At 43.4% G+C, this 19,614-nt stretch overlaps 2 annotated features.

Moving 5' to 3' along the window:
- Nucleotides 885–1,391: an enhancer, noted in NCBI's record as "NANOG hESC enhancer chr16:50055403-50055909 (GRCh37/hg19 assembly coordinates)". NCBI's record gives its function as "activates a minimal SCP1, AML or CMV promoter by ChIP-STARR-seq in naive and primed H9 embryonic stem cells {active_cell/tissue: H9 hESC(naive and primed)}" and the evidence as "EXISTENCE:reporter gene assay evidence [ECO:0000049][PMID:30033119]".
- Nucleotides 6,970–7,019: a silencer, noted in NCBI's record as "silent region_7465". NCBI's record gives its function as "represses an Ori minimal core promoter by ATAC-STARR-seq in GM12878 lymphoblastoid cells {active_cell/tissue: GM12878}" and the evidence as "EXISTENCE:reporter gene assay evidence [ECO:0000049][PMID:35858748]".

The raw sequence follows: 19,614 nt of genomic DNA, 5'->3' as shown, positions 1-19,614 counted from the left end.
GCAGTTTTTCCCCTATTGGTATTTTGTGTATTTAATTCATCCTCAACCTTCCTCCTTCCCATTTGTCAGCAGAATTAATTGACACCCCCACCCACCACTTCATTTTGAAGGTTCCTCTACTATAGCACTTTTCAGTTTTCCACTTAGGGAGCCTTCCTTGGGACCAAACCCTTTCCATGTGTTATCACCCTTAACCCTTTCAGGTGATATTTTTTAAACCGTGGGTCAAAATCTAGAGAGGTTTGTAAAATCTATGTACTGATTCATGACTATTATTATTATTTTTAATTTTTTTGTGGGTTCATGGTAGCTGTATATATTTATGGGGCACATGATGACTATTTTTTTTTTAATGAATTAAGGCCAGGCACTGTGGCTCACGCCTGTGATCCCAACATTTTGGGAGGCTGGGACGGATGGATTGCTTCAGGTCAGGAGTTTGAGACCAGCCTGGGCAACACGGTGAGACCCTCTCTCTACAAAATATACAAAAAATTAGCTGGGCATGGTGGTGTGTGCCTATGGTCCCAGCTATTTGGGAGGCTGTGCTGGGTGAATCATTTGAGTCCAGGAGGCAGAGGTTGCAATGAGCCGAGATCACACCACTGCACTTCAGCTTGGGTGACAGAGTGAGACCCTGTCTAAAAAAAAAAAAAAAAAAAAAAAAAAAACTAAAAAGAAACCTAATTGGAAGTAAGGATGTGGGGTTTCATGGCCTATTGTTTCCGTTGTGTGTGGATGTGTGTGCATGCTCACCGTGTTCTCATCACAGTACAAAGCATATACCCGAGAGTTCCACTTTAAAAAAAAGTTTGAAAGTTCGAAAGTCATCACGGCCCATTTCACAACAGAGAAAGTAAAAATCAGTTTGCCCGGATCTCACAATTATTGTCATAGCCTGATTTTAAGCCCTAAGTCAAACTACCCATTTTGACTTCTTGCTCAATGTTCCATTTCTCCATCTCCAAGTCTAATTCATCACATTTCCCTTCGGCACACAGCAGTGCTTAGAGAATGGCTATTGAACATCTGTTATATGACAGGCTCTCCTGGGCTAGATCCTGGGGAGGTGAGGAGTGAAGACAGACTGATGAATAGGGCATTGCAAAGCATTGTGGTGAGTGGAGGCTTTGCTGACTTGCCTTCAAAAGGGACAGTTCTGTTAACTGCAGGGCTTTTGTTTGCCTGAGGGGGGTGTGCAAGTTTCTAGCAAGAGCTTGGGACAACAGAGGGAACAGTAAGGGCTACCTCCTGGGGTGTTGCCTCGCTATCCTTCACTCTCAACTGTGTTAAAATAAATATTGAACATGCTTTTGAAAGGGTGCATGTTATTTGCCTGTCATTGGTGTCTACATTTATGGATAGAGGGATTGGGGGACATAGGGGAGGGAGACAGGAAAATAGGGTCTCATAGTCAGGTTAAGGAATTTGGACCATGAGGTAGTTGGGGAGATGAAAAGGAACAGATTTCGGAACTTCATATCCATGGGACTTGGCAAGGAGGAGATAGTAACACATATTTAAGGAAGACGTGTTCCAGGCACTAGAGTATGAGCTGAAGATGCAAAGATCTGTAAGACTCACTCCTACTGTCTATGAAGGTAGAGTTTAGTGTAAAAACAAAAGAAGACAAAACACTAATGACCCTTAAAACAGCAATGATAAGATGAAGATCAGCTGCTAAGAGAGATCACCTATAAAATAGTTAAAGTTGGTTATCTTTTACTAGGGGGTTGCCACTCTGCCTTTTATTAGTTCAGGAGCATTGAATCTTCTTTAAACGTCACAACAACAGCTCTATGAGCCAAGGGGTGCTATCAAATTCATTTCAGAGATGAGTTTATAGATGAGTAGATGAGTTGATCAACCCTGAACCCTGTAGCTGGAGATATATTCCTTCTCTCTCGTTCTCTCTTTCCACGTGGTACATCAGATCAGATAGCAAACCCTATTAGCTCTACCCTCAACATATATTAAATATTTCAGTTTGGACAACACAGTGAGACTCTGTCTCTGAAAAAAATAATATTTGGACGTGGTCCCAGCTACTGGGAAGGCTGAGGTAGGAGGCTTACTTGAGCCTGGGAGGTTGAAGTTGCAGTAAGCTATGATCACACCATTGCACTCTAGCCTGGGTGACAGCAAGACCTTGTCTGAAAAACAACAAAAACAACACCAAAGAATCACTTCCCACCACCTTCACTACTACCTGGTCCACAGCACCATTTGGGCTTGATTACTGCAGTGGCCTCTAACTGGCTTCCAGCTTCTACTCCGTCTCCAACAGTGCTTTGTAAAACACTAAAAGATAGCATGGCTCTCCTGCTCAGAACCCTCTGGTGGCTCCCTAAAATGATTATAACAGTGACAGTGATCTTCATACAGTTTCTCTTGCTGTACCTTGTAAAATAATTTTGACAAGATTATATGCCATGTCACATGTTTGTAAAATGATATCACAAATTTTCATCATGGGTTTAAATACTTGTAAAAGATGTAATTTCTGGTAAGTTGTAGGTATTGACATTTGGAAAGAAAGCTATTTCGTCATTCTTTTTTTTTTTGAGATGGAGTCTCACTTTGTCACCCAGGCTGGAGTGCAGTGGCATGACCTCGGCTCACTACAACCTCTCCCTCCCCGGTTCAAGCGATTCTCCTGCCTCGGCCTCCCTGAGTAGTGGGACTACAGGCACATGCCACCATGCCCGGCTAATTTTTCCATTTTTACTAGAGATGGGGTTTTGCCATGTTGGCCAGTCTGGTCTCCAACTTCTGAACTCAGGTGATCTGCCCACCTTGGCCTCCCAAAGTGCTGGGATTACAGGCGTGAGCCACTGCACCTGGCCCATTGCATCATTCTTTTAAATGTATTCAATGGAATAGAAATACCATGGCAGGTTGATATTCACCACCATCCTTTAAAAAATATATGAATATCTCAGCTGGGCATGGTGGCTCACACCTGTAATCCCTGCAGTTTGAGAGGCCAAGGTGGGCAGATCACTTGGAGTCAGGAGTTTGAGACCAGCCTGGCCAAAATGGCAAAATCCTGTCTCTACCAAAAAATATAAAAGTTAGCCAGGTGTGGTGGGGTGTGCCTGTAGTCCCAGCTACTCGGGAGGCTGACACACAAGAATCACTTGAACCCAGGAGGAGGAGGTTGCAGTGAGCCGAGATTGCACCACTGCACTCCAGCCTGGGTGACAGTGTGAGACCCTGTCTCAAAAAAGAAAAGAAAAAAAAATGAGTATCTCTTATGAACATAGACAAAAAATTCTCAAAAAAATTAGCAAATCAAATTCAGCAACATATCAAAAGTATTATACACCACGATGAAATGTGATTTATCCCAGGAATGCAAAGTTAGTTTAGCATCAGAAAATGCGTTCATATAATATGTCGTATCAGTAGAAAAAAGGACAGAAAACACACAATTTCATAAGGATGCACTCATATATTGCTAGTAGGAATTTAAAATGGTGCAGCCACTTTGGAGAATAGTTTGGCAGTTCCTCAAAAAGGTGAACATCAGATAAACATACAGTTGCTATATGAACCAGCAATTCTTCTCTTAGGTATATATCCAAGAGAATTGAAAACATACATTTAAGTAAAACCTTATGCATGAATGTGCATAGCAGCATTATTCCTAATAGCCTAAGAGTGGAAACAATTCAAATGTCCATCAAATAATGAATGGATAAACAAAATGTGAGGTAAATACACAATGGGCTATTACTCTATTTTGCAACAATGAAAAAGAATTAAGTACTGAAATGTTACAAAATGAATAAACCCTATGTTTCCATTCATATGAAATATTCAGAGTAGGTAAATCCATAGAGGCAGAAAGTAGAATTCTGGTTGCCAGGGAAAAAGAAAATCAGGAGTGACTAACAATAGATACAGGATACTTTATGAGGGTGATGAAAATGTTGTGGAATTAGATGGGGATGATGGTTGCATGACTTTGTAAATATAATTAAAACACTGAATTGTGTATATGTATATATATATATATATATTTTTTTTTTTATTTTTTTATTTTATTTTTTTTTTTTGAGATGGAATCTCACTCTGTCACCCAGGCTGGAGCGCACTGGTGTGATCTTGGCTCACTGCAACCTCCACCTCCTAGGTTCGGGTGATTCTCCTGCCTCAGCCTCCCAAGTAACTGGGATTACAGGCATGCACCACCACATCCAGCTAATTTTTGTATTTTTAATAGAGACAAAGTTTCTCCATGTTGGCCAGGCTGGTCTCAAACTCCTGGCCTCAGGTGATCCAGCCGCCTTGGCCTCCGACTGTTCTGGGATTACAGGTATGAGCCACCAAGCCTGGCCTGAATTGTATACTTTGAAAGGGTTAATATTTTTACTTAAAAAAATATTTCAATAGGTTTTTGGGGGAACGGGTGGTGTTTGGTTACGCAAATAAGTTCTTTAGTGGTGATTTCTGAGATTTTGGTGCACCCATCACCTGAGCGGTGTACACTGTACCCAATGTGTAGTCTTTTATCCCTCACCAGCTCCACCCTTTCCCTGAAGTCCCTGAAGTCCATCGTGTCATTCTTATGCCTTTGCATCCTCATAGCTTAGCTCTAAAATGGTTAATTTTATGGCACGTAAATTATATCTTAATTTTAAAATATATCATTAACTTCTGTGCATCAAAGCATAACACTGAGAAAGTGAAAAGACAACACACAGAGTTTAATGAAATATTTGCAAATCATATATCTGGTAAGGGACTTGTATCCAGAATTTATTTATTTATTTATTTATTTTTTAGTTTTATCCTTTTATTTTTTTTGTAAAATTAAACAAACATACCAAAAAAGTTTTCTGTGTCTACAAAATGTAACAAGATGGAGACCATGTTAGTCTTTTAGAGCAGGGGGCCACCAAACCCCAGGCCAAGGACCTGTACTGGTCTAATGCTTGTTAGGAACCGGGCCACATAGCAGGAGGTCACTAACAGGCAAGCAAGCATTGCAGCATTACCGCCTGGGACCAGTTTTATGGAAGACAATTTTTCCACGGACTGGGGAGGTGGTGGGGGGATGGTTTCCGGATGAAACCGTTCCACCTCAGATCATCAGGCATTAGTTAGATTCTCATAAGGAGTGTGCATCCTAGATCCCTCGCATGCGCAATTCACAATAGGGTTTGCACTCCTATGAGAATGTAATGCCCCTGCTGATCTGACAGGAGGCAGAATTTATTTTTTGAAAGAAAAAACCTCTTATATCTCAACAATAAAAATATAAGTAACCAGGTTGCTCACGTCTGTAATGCCAGCATTTGGGAGGCTGAGGCGGGCAGATCACTTGAGGTCAGGGATTTGAGACTAGCCTGGCCAACATGGTGAACACCCATCTCTACTAAAAATACAAAAATTCGCTGGGTGTGGTGGCGCGTGCCTGTAGTTCCAGCTACTCAGAAGGCTGAGGCAGGAGAATTGCTTGAACCTGGGAAGCAGAGGTTGCAGTGAGCCAACATTATGCCACTGCCTCTAGCCTGAGCGACAAAGTGAGACTCCATCTCAAAAAACAAACAAAAAAACCCACAAAAAAGTACAACAAAAAACCAAAAATATAAGTAACCCAATTTAAAAATGGACAAAGGGCCGGGCGTGGTGGCTCACGCCTGTAATCCCAGCACTTTGGGAGCCCCAGGTGGGCGGATCACTTGAGGTCAAGAGTTCAAGACCAGCCTGGCCAACATGGTGAAACCCTGTCTCTACTAAAAATACAAAAATTAGCCAGGCACGGTGGCACGTGCTTATAACCACAGCTATTCAGGAGGCTGAGGTGGGAGGATCAGTGGTGCCCAGGAGGTCTTGGTTGCCGTGAGCTATGATTGTGCCACTGCACTCCAGCCTTGGCAACAAAGTGAGAACCTGAAAAAAAATAAATAAATAAATAAAGTAAAATAAAATACAAAATGGACAAAGGATCTGAATAAATACTACTGCAAAAACGGCATATGAATGGCCAAGAAGCATAGACAAAGATGTTCATCATTAGCCACCAAGGAAATGCAAGTCAAAATCACACCACAGTGAAATACTACCTCACATCTATTAGGATGATTATAATAGTAATCATGATAATAATAATAAAACATAGTAACAATTGTTGTAGAGGATAGATATATATAAATTAGAATCCTTATCTATTACTTATGGGAATGTAGAATGGTGTGGCCACATTGGCAAGAAGTTGGGCAGTTCCTTAAAAACATAAAGTCATCTGGGTGAGGTGGCTCATGCCTGTAATCCTAACACTTTGGGAGGCTGAGGTGGGAGGCTGTCTTGAGCATAGGAGTTTGAGACCAGACTGGGCAACATAGGGAGATCCTATCTCTGTAAAAAATAAAAAAATAGCACGGCATGGTGGTGCAGGCCTGTAGTCCCAGCTACTTGGGAGGCTGAGGTGGGAGGATAGCTTGAGCCCAGGAGATGAAGGCTGCAGTGACATGTGATCACACCACTGCATTCTAGCCTGGGCAACAGAGCAAGACTCTGTCTGAAAGAAACAAATAATACACAAACGCGGAGGTTGCAGTAAGCTGAGATGGCACCACCGCACTCCAGCCTGGGTGATAAAGCAACACTGTCTGAAACAAAAACACAACAAATGAACCCGTAAAAATCACCATATGACCCAACAGTTCAACTCTCGTGTACCTAAGAAAGATGAAAACATATGTCCATAAAAAGGCTTGTATGTGAATGTTCATAGCAGCATTATTTATAATAGTAAAAAAATGGGAGCAAATGTCTACCAGCTGATGAATGGGTAAGCAGAAGGTGATAATATATCTGTACAATGGAATATTATTCAGCAATAAAAGGGAAGGAAGTTCAGCCACATGCTACAACATAGATGGGCCTTGAGGCCACTGTGCTAAGTGAAATCAGCCAGTCACAAAAAGACAAATACTCTGAGTCCGCTTATATGAGGCACCTAGAGTAGTCAAACTCATACAGACGGAAAATAGAATGGTGGCTTCCAGGGGCTGGGGGTGGAGGGAATGGAGAGTTAGTGTTTAATAGGTATGGAGTTTCAGTTTTGCAAGATGAAGAGTTTTGTTTCATGCATGGATGGTGGTGATGATTGCACAGCAGGATGAAGGTATTAATATTGAACTGAATTGAGCTGTACATTTAAAAATGGCTAAGATGGTAAACTTATGAGTATTTTACTACAGTTTTAAAAAATTAAAGTCACATAGTGACCTATCATCAAAAAAAAAATCTTTGTCTTGCTCTTTCTAGATAGATCCTCCTGCAGTATTGTGGAAACTTCCTGTTTTGCTAAAGATTTCTTGTTTTTTTGTTTGTTTGCTTGTTTGTTTGTTTTGATGGAGTCTTGCTCTGTCACCAGGCTGGAGTGCAGTGGTGCAATCTCTGCTCACTGCAACCTCCGCCTCTTGGATTCAAGCGATTCCCCTGCCTCAGCCTCCTGAGTAGGTAGACTACAGCTGTGCACCACCATGCCCAGCTTTTTCGTATTTTAGTAAAGATGTGATTTCACCATGTTGGCCAGGTTGGTCTGGATCTCCTGACCTTGTGATCCTCCTGCTTCGGCCTCCCAAAGTGCTGGGATTTCAGGCCTGAGCCACCGCGCCTGGCCTTGCTAAAGGTTTCTTACTTGGTCAGACTCTCTTACACCCTCAGTTTCTGGAAAATGTATCAAAAAGGCTTTACTAAAATGTGTCAAATTGCAACAAATGTTACCTATTCTTTCTTCACTTAGAGACAACTTGTTTAGCCCAATAGGCTCAGAAACAATTGGGGAAATTGTAATATTGGTGATATAAGATACATCTTTGCTAATGTTTTTTGAAAAATAGAAAAGCTTTTTATCTTATCACATATCTTAAATATATTTTCATCAAAACCTCAAAGGAGTCAATTTAGTTCATTTGATTTGGAGACACTATTCACCGTTTTCTTTAATGCACAAAGCCAGTTCTTATTGTCAAACTGATCAGTAAAATCAGACTTAATTTCTCTCAGAAACTTTACTTCACTTTTCAATGCAAATCCCTGTGAAAACTCAACATGTTTGTAAAAATTGTTTGTATTCAAAGCAATGCTTTACTCATTTTTTTTTTTTTTTAGACAGAGTCTCACTCTGTCACCCAGGCTGGAGGGCAGTGGTTCAATCTTGGCTCACTGTGACCTCCATCTCCCAGGTTCAAGCGATTCTCCTGCCTCAGCCTCCCAAGTAGCTGGGATTACAGGCACACGCCACCATGCCCAGCTTATTTTTGTATTTTTAGTAGAGATGGGGTTTCGCCATGTTGGCCAGGCTGGTCTCCAACTCCTGACCTCAGGTGATCCGCCTGCCTTGGCCTCCCAATGTGCTGGGATTACAGGCATGAGTCACCACACCAGACGTTTTTCTTCAGACAGGGTCGCATTCTGTCACCCAGACTGGAATTTAGTGAATTTAGTGGTGCGATCACAGCTCACTTCAGCCTCAGCCTCCTGGGCTCAAGGGATTCTCTTGCCTCAGGCTCCCAAGTGGCTGGGACCACAGGCGGGTGCCACCACACCTGGCTAATTTCTAAATTATCTGTAGAGACGGGGCCTGCCTTTGTTGCCCAGGCTGGTCTCAAACTCCTGGGCTCCGGCCATCTTTGCCATGACCTCCCAAAGTGCTGGGATTACAGGCATGAGCCACCATGTCCAGCCAGTGCTTCACTCTTAACTGAGAATCTAAACAGGACAAGAAAGCCAAGAGTGCAGGATGGATTTATTGCTCATGGTTTGAGGAGACTTCAAGCGTGTCCTTATTTTGAATAAGATGTCCTTCTTGTTCCTGCAGCCAGTGCTGTCTTCCATGCACCTGGGCACCGCCCCATTGTAACTCAGCGGGGCGAGAGGTGGGCCTTTCTTCTGTAGACTGGGGTTAAGGGCGATGGTGAAGCAGGGGAGGGAAGGAGGACCAGGTCTTGAAGCAGGACAACTGGGAATTCTTGCCCTCGAGAGTCTCCCTCCCTTCTTCCTCAGTCTGGGGGTCAGAGGAGGCTTCTTAGAGGACATGGGGCTCAAGTTGATTCTCCCCAGACCTGCTCTTTATCCATGGTCACCATTTTAGTAAATGGCCCCGTGTCCACCCACTATTTGCTCAGGCAAGAACTGGGGATCATCCTTGAGTCCCCTTCTTAATCTCACATCCATTACCCAATCCATCAGCTCTGTCACCTTACTTCCAGAATGGATCCCAAATCCAGTCATCTCTCACCCTTACCATGGTCACCCAAGTCCTGGCCATCAACACAGTTGCCTGGAAGGTTGCAAGCGTCTCATCGCTATCTCCCTGCTTCACCTCTTGCTCTCCTTCTGGTCCTCCTTGGTACAGTAACCAGAGAGGGCCTGTCCCTCCTTATCTAACACCTCCTCATTGCTTTCCTTTGCACTTAAAATAAAATCTGAGGAATATTCCACCTTGTAGGGTGACCAACTTGTCCCAGGCAAACCACGACAGTTGGGCGCCCTACACAAGACCCTGTAGGCTTGGACATTGCCTACCTCTGCAGATGCTTCTCACAGGTCTCCCCCACCCACATCCCACCTCTACCCTCACTCCCCGCACTCTCCCAGGCTTACTTGGCTCCAGCCCCATTGGATCCTTCAAAGAGCCATGCTTGTTTTAGGATTTTTGCATTTGCTACCTCTTCTCACTGGAACTCTCCTGCCCTGGCTTGCTCTTGCAATGTCAGGCTTCAGCTCAATGCCCTTTCTGCAAAGAGGACTTGGATCACTCCAGCTTAAGTACTTCTCTTTTTCTCTTTCTCTCTCTCTCTCTTTTTTTCTTTTTTTTTTTGAGACAGAGTCTTGCTCTGTTGCCAGTCAGAAGTGCAGTGGTGCAATCTTGGCTCGCTGCAACCTCCACCTCCTGGGTTCAAGCGATTCTCCTGTCTCAGCTTCCTGAGTAGCTGGGATTACAGGCACGTGCCACCATGCCCGGCTCATTTTTGTATTTTTAGTAGAGATGGGGTTTCACCTTGTTGGCCAGGTTGGTCTTGAACTCATGACCTCAAGTGATCCACCCACCTCAGCCTCCCAAAGTGCTGGGATTACACCCCTCCCCCAGCCATAAGTATTCCTCTGCCATCACCATCTGGACCACTGCATCCTGCTTACTCGCTGTGCAGTTTGAAGCTCTCTGTGCTTTACTTTCTTACCCGTGACTGAGGCAGGTGCTGTCCTCAAAGAACTGCAGAAGGGATCCTGTGAGATAATTCTTGCCAAGCCCTTGGATCACTGCTGGAACATAGAAAGTGCTCCATACATATGGTCATAATTACCCTGTTCTGTTTTCTTTCTAGCACCTGTCAATATGTGACAATTGTATTTATTGATATTTCTTCCATGTTTATTGTCTGTCTCTCCAACTAGAATGTGAGCTGCATTAGGGCAAAGACCTATTTTGCTTTCCTCAGTGACTATAACCATGCCTGACACATATCAGGAACTCAAGGTGTGCGTTCAGAGAATGAAACTTAATGGTTGCGCAGCACTGTGAATGTACATGTACCACTGAATTGCATGTGTAAAAATGGCTAAAATGTTGAAATTATGCTATATATGTATTTTAAGGTTGTGTATATTTACCCCCATGAAAAAGCACACTGATGTCCCATAATAAATATTTAACAACTTTCCTAGGTTAAAGCAAAGTGAAAGAAGCTAAGTCTGGGTACTCTTGGAGGAATTAGCTGCTCAGAGAGGGCGCAGCCTGGCCTTGTGGCTTTCTGGGACTCGTTTTACATAACACCCCTTCTCTTCATGACCTCTCATTGGTGTGCACACCTTCCTGAGGAGGTCAGGGGAGGTGGGGACTGGAAATCCCAGGAGACCCTGCCAAGGCTGAAGTGCTCTGTCCAGGTGTGTCCACAGCAGGCGGAGCTCCACACATCTGGTGTTGTCACTCTTCCACTGTGGTGTCTTTGCAGCTGATCAGTGCTGTGCCAGTTGACAGCTGTGTGATCTCAGGCAAGTTACGCAACCCTCCTGTGCTTCAGTTCTTCCTCTGTGGAGTGAAATAGCAAGAGAAGCTTTCTCATAGGATGACTGTGAGGATTGAATGGATAGTGTCTGCAAAGTGTTTAGAAAAGTGCCTGGCCTACACCCACAAGTGCTATATAAATATTAGCTATTATTATTAATATTTTTGGCCTGGAGTTGGTGGTTCATACCTGTAATCCCAGCACTTTGTGAGGCTGAGGCAGGAGGATTGCTTGAACCCAGGAGTTCACGACCAGCCTGGGCAATATAGTGAGACCCCTTCTCTATCAAAAAATCAATGTTTGTATTACCCATTCAGTTGCTTAAGCCAAAAATTTAGGAGTTATACATGCCCTTCCTTTCTCCCCATTTCCATCAGCAAATCCATTCTTCAAAATGTATCTTAACTTCTTTCACTTTTTCTCCTAAATGTTCTCAAGTTTTGCCTTTCACACTGAAGCCTTTGGGCTGGTCAGGAATGTATTCAATCTCTCTTTATTTCCACATGGACCACCAGGTGTGCCAGCACTGTTTACCAAGCCCTTTCTTTGTTGCCCTGCTTGGCCAGTGCCATCATAGGCTATAGCCAGTTTCTACGTCTGCGAGGGTCTGTTTCTGGGCTCTGCTCTGTTCCACTAGGAATTCTTTTTCTTTTTCTTTTTTTTTTTTTCTTTTTGAGACAGAGTCTCTCTCTCTCAGGCTGGAATGCGGTGGCATGAACTTTGCCCACTGCAACCTCAACCTCGTGGGCCCAAGTGATCCTTCCACCTCACCCTCCTGAGTAGCTTGCTTTCTTTCTCTTTCTTTCTTTCTTTCTTTCTTTCTTTCTTTCTTTCTTTCTTTCTTTCTTTCTTTCTTTCTTTCCCTTTCTTTCCTCTTTCTTTTTTTCTTCTTCTTTCTTTCTCTTTCTCTCTTTCTCTCTTTCTTTCTTTCCTTTCTTTCTCTCTCTCTCTCTTTCTCTCTTTCTTTCTCTCACTTTGTCACCCAGGCTGGAGTGCAGTGGCATAATCTCAGCTCACTGCAACCTCTGCCTCCTGGGTCCAAGTGATCCTCCTGCCTCAGCCTCCTGGGTAGCTGGGATTAAAGGCATGCACCATCATGTCCGGCTAATTGTTTTGTGTTTTTAGTGAAGATGGGGTTTCACCATGTTGGCCAGGCTGGTCTTGAACCTTGACCTCAGGTGATCTACCTGCCTTGGCCTCCGAAAGTGCTGGGATTACAGGTGTGAGCCACCACGCCTGGCTAATGTTTGTATTTTCTGTAGATACAGGGTCTCACTTTGTTGCCCAGGGTGGTCTCAAACTCCTGACTCTGGGGCTCAAGCAATCTGCCCACCTTGGCCTCCCAGCATGCTGAGATTATAGGCATGAGCCTCGGCCTCCCAGAGTGCTAGGATTACAGACTGCTCCTGGCCTGGGCAGTCATTATTGATCTTCCCTCCTCCTCACTCCTTACATGCAATCCATCAGCAAGTCCATCCTCCCTCCAAACACAGTGAAAGCCCTTCTACTCCACTCCTCATCACTGCTGCTGTTATTTTGCTTTTTCATTTTGAGACAGGGTCTTGTTCTGTCACCCAGGCTGGAGTGCAGTGGTGCGATCATAACTCCTGAAGCCTCAACCTCCCTAGCTCAAGTGATCCTCCCTCCTCAGCCTCCCGAGTAGTTGGGACTACAGGCAGGTGCCACCGCACCTGGCTAATTTTTTAAAAAATTTATAGAGATGAGGGTCTCACTATGTTGTCCAGGCTGGTCTCAAATTCCTGGACTCAAGTGACCCTTCCACCTCAGCCTCCCAAAGTGCTGGAATTACAAGCCTGAGCCACTGCACCTGGCCTACTGCTGTTCTTTTTCTTTTTAAACTTTTATTTTAGGTTCAGGGGTACATGTGAAGGTTTGTTACACAGGTGAACTCTTGTTTTGGGAGTTTGTTGTACAGATTAATTCAGCACCCTGTGTATTAGTCTGTTCTCACTTCTATAAAGATATACCTGAGACTGGGTAATTATAAAGATTTTATAAAGGGTAATTATAAAGGTTTAATTGACTCACAATTCTGCATGGCTGGGGAGGCCTCAGGAAACTTACAATCCTGGTGGAAGGTGAAAAGGGGAAAAAGGAAGAAAGGCATGTCTTACATCGAGGCAGGGGACAGAGTGAGCAGGAAGGGAAGTGCCACACATTAAACCATCAGCTGTCATGAGAACTCACGCCCTGTCATGAGAACAGCAAGGGAGAAATCTGCCCCCGTGATCCAATCATCTCCCATCAGGCCGCTGCTCCAACATGTGGGGATTACAATTTGTGATGAGATTTGTGTGAAGACGCAGAGCCAACCATATATTTCTGCTTCTGGCCCCTCCCAAATCTCATGTTCTTTTCACATTTCAAAACACTTCATGCTTTTCCAACAGTCCCACAAAGTCTTAACTCATTCCAACATTAACTCAAATGTCCCAGTCCAAAGTCTCATCTGACACAATGTAAGTCCCTTCTGCCTATGAGCCTGTAAAATCAAAAACAAGTTAGTTACTTCCAAGATACAATAGGGGTACAGGCATTGGATAAATGTTCCTGTTCCAAGTGGGCGAAATTGGCCAAAACAAAGGGGCTACAGGCCTCATGCAAGTCTGAAACCCAGCAGGGAAGTCATTAAATCTTAAAGGTCTGAAATGATCTCCTTTGACTCCATGTCTCACACCCAGGGCATGCTGATGCAGGGGTGGGCTCCCTAGGCCTTGGGCAACTCTGTCCCTGTGGCTCTGCAGGGTACAGCCCCCATGGCTGCTTTCATGGGCGGGTGTTGAGTGCCTGCAGCTTTTCCAGGTGCATGGTGCAAGCTGTTGGTGGATCTATGATTCTGGGATCTGGAAGACTGCAGCCTTCTTCTCACAGCTCCACTAGGTAATGCCCCAGTGGAGATTCTGTGTGGGGGCTCCAACTTTACACTTCCCCTCTGCATTGCCCTAGTGGAGGTTCTCCATGAGGGTTCCGTCCCTGCAGCAAACCTCTGCCTGGACATCCTGGCGTTTCCATACGTCCTGTGAAATCTAGGGGGAGGTTTTTAAAGCTCAACTCTTGTCTTTTGCGCATCCTGTGGTCCAACACTATGTGGAAGCCACTAAGGCTTGGGGCTTGCACCCTCTGAAGCAAAAGCTGGAGCTATACCTTGGCCCCTTTTAGCCGTGGCTGGAGCTGGAGTAGCTGGGATGCAGGGTGCCATGCCCTGAGGCTGCACAGAGCGGTGGGGTCCTGGGCCTGGCCTACCACAAAACCATTTTTCTTTCCTGGGCCTCCAGGCCTCAGATGGGAGGGGCTGCTATGAAGATCTCTGAAATATCCTGGAGACATTTTCCCCATTGTCTTAGCTATTAACATTCAGCTTCTCTTTACTTATGCAAATTTCTGCCGCCAGCGGCTTGAATTTCTCTCCAGAAAATGGGTTTTTCTTTTCTACCACGTGGTCAGGCTGCAAAATTTCCCAACTTTTATGCTCTGCTTCCCTTTTAAACATAAGTCCCAATTTCAGACCATCTCTTTCTTCAAACATACGAGCATACACTTTTTGCAATAGCCAGGTCACATCTTGAACACTTTACTGCTTAGAAGCTTCTTCCTCCAGATATCATAAATCATCTCTCAAGTTCAAAGTTCCGCAGATCTCTAGGGCAGGGGCAAAATGCCACCAGTCTCTTTGCTAAAGCATAGCAAGAGAGACCTTTACTCCAGTTCCCATTAAGTTCCTCATCTCCATTTGAGACCACCTCAGCCTGGACCTCATTGTCCATATCACTATCAGCATCTTGGTCAAAACCATTCAACAAGTCTCTTGGAAGTTCCAAACTTTCCCACATCTTTGTCTTCTTCTGAGCTCTCCAAACTGTTCCAACCTCTGCTCATTACTCAGTTCCAAAGTCACTTCCGCATTTTCAGGTATCCTTATAGCAGTACCCCACTCTTGGTACCAATTTTCTATATTAGTCCATTCTTACACTGCTATAAAGACATACCTGAGTCTGGGTAGTTTTTAAAGAGAAGAGATTTAATTGACTCACATTTCTGCATGGCTGAGGAGGCCTCAGGACACATAAAATCTTTTTTTTTTTTTTTTTCTGAGACAGGGTCTTGCTCTGTCACCCCAGCTGGAGTGCAATGGCACAATCTCGACTCACTGCAGCCCTGACCTCCCAGGTTGAAGTGATTCTTGTGCCTCAGACTCCAGACTAGCTGGGACTACAGGTGCATGCCAACATACTTGGCTGATTTTTTTTTTTTTTTTTTTTTTGAGACAGAGTCTCTCTCTGTCACCCAGGCTGGAGTGCAGTGGCACAATCTCGGCTCACTGCAACTTTCACCTCCCAGATTCAAGTGATTCTCGTGCCTCAGCCTCCCGAGTAGCTGGGACTACAGGCATGAACCACCACACCTGGCTAACTTTTTGTATTTTAGTAGAGACAAGGTTTCACCATCTGGCTAATTTTTAAATTTTTATTAGAGATGGGGTTTCGCTATGTTGGCCAGGCTGGTCTCAAACTCCTGACCTCAAGTGATCCATCTGTCTAGGCCTCCAAAAGTACTGGGATTACAGGCATGAATCACTATGCCCAGACAGGAAACTTACAATCATAATGGAGAGTGAAAAGGGAAGGAGGCATGTCTCGCATGGCAGCAGGAGAGAGAGCAAGCAAGGGGGGAAGTGCCACACTGTAAAACCACCAGCTCTCATGAGAGCTCACTCCCTCTCATGAGAACAGCAAGGGAGAAGTTCATCCCCATGATCCACTCATCTCCCACCAGGCCCCTACTCTGACATGTGGGGATTACAATTCAAGATGAGATTTGGGTGGGGGCAAAGAGCCAAACTGTATTGCCCAAGAATAAAGCCCAGTACCCAATAGTTATCTTTTCTGCTCCTCTCCCTCCTCCCATTCTCCACTCTCAAGTAGACCTCAGTGTCTTGTTTCCTTCTTTGTTTTTAATTTTATTAAAATAGTGTCACATTGTGAATATTCCTTTGAAATTGGTTTGTTTACCATTATTAATTCTAAGATTCATCTGTGTTGATGTATAAGTTCTCATCATTTAGCTTGCACTTATAAGTGAGAACATGTGGTATTTGGTTTTCTCTTCCTGCATTAGCTTGCTGAGGATAATAGCCTCCAGCTCCATCCATGTTCCCACAAAAAACAAGATTTTGTTCTTTTTTTATGGCTGTTATTTTTCAGCTGGACAGTTGGGATGGTTCCCACTCCCCACTTCCACTCTGGAACCCCTGCACCCCCTGTATTTCCCCATAGTGCAACCCAAGAGGGCATGTTCCCCTTTCATCCCTTTTAAAATGACAAAATAATTAATATGTACAAACACATTTAAGTACATACATGTAAGCATATGGAGGTGGTGAGGCATGGCCATTAAACAGCCCCTGTAAGCACCCCTTGCACCCTAGGAAATGGAACAGTAGCAAATCCTCTTATGTCTCATTTGCCCTTCTCAATACTCTTGGAAACTGGTTCTTTCTTTCTTTCTTTCTTTCTTTCTTTCTTTCTTTCTTTCTTTCTTTCTCTCTCTCTCTTTCTTCCTTTCTTTCTCTTCCTTCCTTCCTTCCTTCCTTCCATCCTTCTTTCTTTCCCTTCCTTCCTTCCTTCCTTCTTTCTTTCTTTTTTGAGACAGAGTATCGCTCTGCCATCCACCCTGGAGTGCAATGACACGATCTCAGCTCACTGCAACCTCCACCTCCTGGGTTCAAGCAATTCTCTTGCCTCAGCCTCCTGAGTAGCTGGGATTACAGGTGTGCAACACCATGCCCGGCTAATTTTTGTATTTTTGTATTTTTAGTAGAGACGGGGTTTCACCATGTTGGTCAGGCTGGCCTTGAACTCCTTGCCTTGTGATCCACCCGCTTCAGCCTCCCAAAGTCTGGGATTACAGGCGTGAGCCCCTGCGCTCGGCCTTTTTTTCTTTTTTTTTGAGACGGAGTCTCGCTCTGTCTCCCAGGCTGGAGGGGAGTGGTGCGATGTCGGCTCACTGCAACCCCCGCCTCCCGGGTTCAAGCTATTCTCTTACCTTAGCTGTGACTACAGGTGCACACCACCACGCCCTGCTAATTTTTGTATTTTTAGTAGAGATGGGGTTTCACCATGTTGACCAGGATGATCTTGATCTCCTGACCTCGTGATCCACCCGCCTTGGCCTTCCAAAGTGCTGGGATTGCTGGTTCTTTCTAAAATTATTCCCTTGCTTTCCTTTAGAGCTTTACTACATATGTAGTATTCCTAAGTAATTTATTATTTGGTTTTGCTTGTTTGTAAATTTTATTAAAACATTGTCATGTTGTGAATATTCCTTTAAAATTGGTTCGTTTGTTTACCATTATTAATTCTAAGATTCATCTCTGTTGATGTATGTAGCCATCAGTCAGTCATTTTCACCACTACTGAAGGATCCATTGTAAAAATCCATGATTTATACATACATTCTACTGTTGATAGCCGTTTGGTTGCTTCTTCTTTTCTCTTCTCCTTATTTCTCTTATGCACAATGCTTGTACCTGTCTCCTGGTGTACAGGAGTTTCTCTTGGGTAGTGGCTAAAAAATAGTTAGTACTTTTCTCTCCCTCCACTCTTGATAAGTAGTGTCTTTAATGCCATGACCCAGTACACACAGACACATATAATTATTGTCACTTTTTGTGATGCACTTTGGCGGCATTTTCTATGCTATTCTATTTCATTTTTTTAGAAGATGTTAGCCAGGTACACTGGCTCACACTTGGAACCCCTGCATCCCTGGTAATTCTTTATAGTGTAACCCAAGAGGGCATGTTCCCCTTTTATCCCCTTTAAAATGAAAAAAATATTTAATATGTACAAAAATATATGAGTACATATATGTAAGCATATGGAGGTGACAAATGAGACATCAGAGGATTTGCTACTATTCCATTTCCTAGAGTGCAAGGAGGGCTCACAGGGGCTGTTTTATGGTCATGCCTCACCACTTCCGTATGCTTACATATATGTACTTACATGTTTTTGTACATATTAAATATTTTGTCATTTTAAAAGGAATAAAAGGGGAACATGCCCTCTTGGGTTGCACTATGGAGAATTACTGGGGGTGCAGGGGTTCCAGAGTGGAAGTGGGGAGTGGGAATCATTGCAACTGTCCATTGCATTGCTACCCAGGAGGCTGAGGTGGGAGGATTGTGTGAGCCCAGGATTTCGAGGCTGCAGTAAGCTATGATCATACCACTGCACTTCAGCCTGGGTGACAGAGCAAGACTCTGTCTCTACAGAAAAGAAAAAAAAAAAAGAAGCTGATACAGATTACGAAAGGATTTCATGACTAACAAATTCGTAGTGTGAAAAATCTTGAGTGCATATATGTACGCATACAGAGATGGTGAGGCATAGGGCAGTTTGGGCATATATACAGGAGTGGAATTGCTGAGCCATGGGGTATATATGGACATGTTCATCTTTATCAGATAAGCCAAATGGTTCTGCAATGTAGTTATAATAATTGACCCCTCCCCAACCCAGAATGAGAATTGACATTTGCTCTACATCCTCACTTCTTAATTTGTGCCTGTCCAGTGGGTGTAAGATGATATCCCATTATGATGTAGTGATAATGCCTTTCCATGTCTTTTGCCATTTTATTAGTGGATTTTTGGTCTTCGCAATTTGTTAAAGTTCTTTGTATTTCATGGATACTAATATTTTATTGATTATATTTAATGTAAATATCATCTCCCAGCTTATATCTTATTTTTTCACTTCCTTTATCAGCAAAGGATGATGAACAGAATTCTTAATTTTAATTTAGTCAAATTTGTCAATAGTTTCCTTTATAGTATTTTTTGGATCTTGTTTAAAAAATTATTCTCATTTCTGAGGTCATAAAGATATTGTACAAAGTTTTCTGCTAAAGAAAATTTTAAAACTTTGAATCTTTTAACACCAGGCGTTTATGCAAGTTCTCTTTATACCCATATGGGTTACCAATTGTCCCAGTACCATTTACTAAATAGCCCATTCTTTTCCCACAGACCTGCTGGGGCAAGGCTGTCATAATCAAGCTTCACCTAGTGTATGGGTCCCTTTCTGCCCTCTCCTCAGTTCCGTTTGTCAATATGTCTATCCCTGTCAATACCATACTGTTGTGGTTAAGGAGTATCTTGAATATTCTTGGCCCTTTGTTCTTCCATATCCACTTTAGACCCAACTGGTTTTATGAAAAGCTCTGTTGAGACTTTGGAATTGCATTGACTCCAGAAGTCATTTTGGAACATCTTGATAATGTTGACTATTCCATCAGAAACACAGGACAGCTTTTCATTTATTTACACATTCTTTAATGTCCTTCAATAATGATTTGTCATTTTATCCATACTGTGGATTTAAGAGAGGATTTTACAAATGTTAATTGGGCTGGGATGGTGGCTCACTCCTACAATCCCAGCACTTTGGGAGACTGAGGTGGTAGAATTGCTTGAGGCTAGGAGTTTGAGACCAGCCTGGGCAACAAAGCAAGATCCCATCTCTATGAAATAAAATAAAATAAAATAAAATAAAATAAAATAAAA

This window comes from Homo sapiens, chromosome 16 (assembly GCF_000001405.40).
Source record: "Homo sapiens chromosome 16, GRCh38.p14 Primary Assembly".
Taxonomy (NCBI): Eukaryota; Metazoa; Chordata; class Mammalia; order Primates; family Hominidae; genus Homo; species Homo sapiens.
The sequence above is the reverse complement of the archived record's forward strand: the minus strand, read 5'-3'. Positions and strand labels throughout refer to the sequence as shown.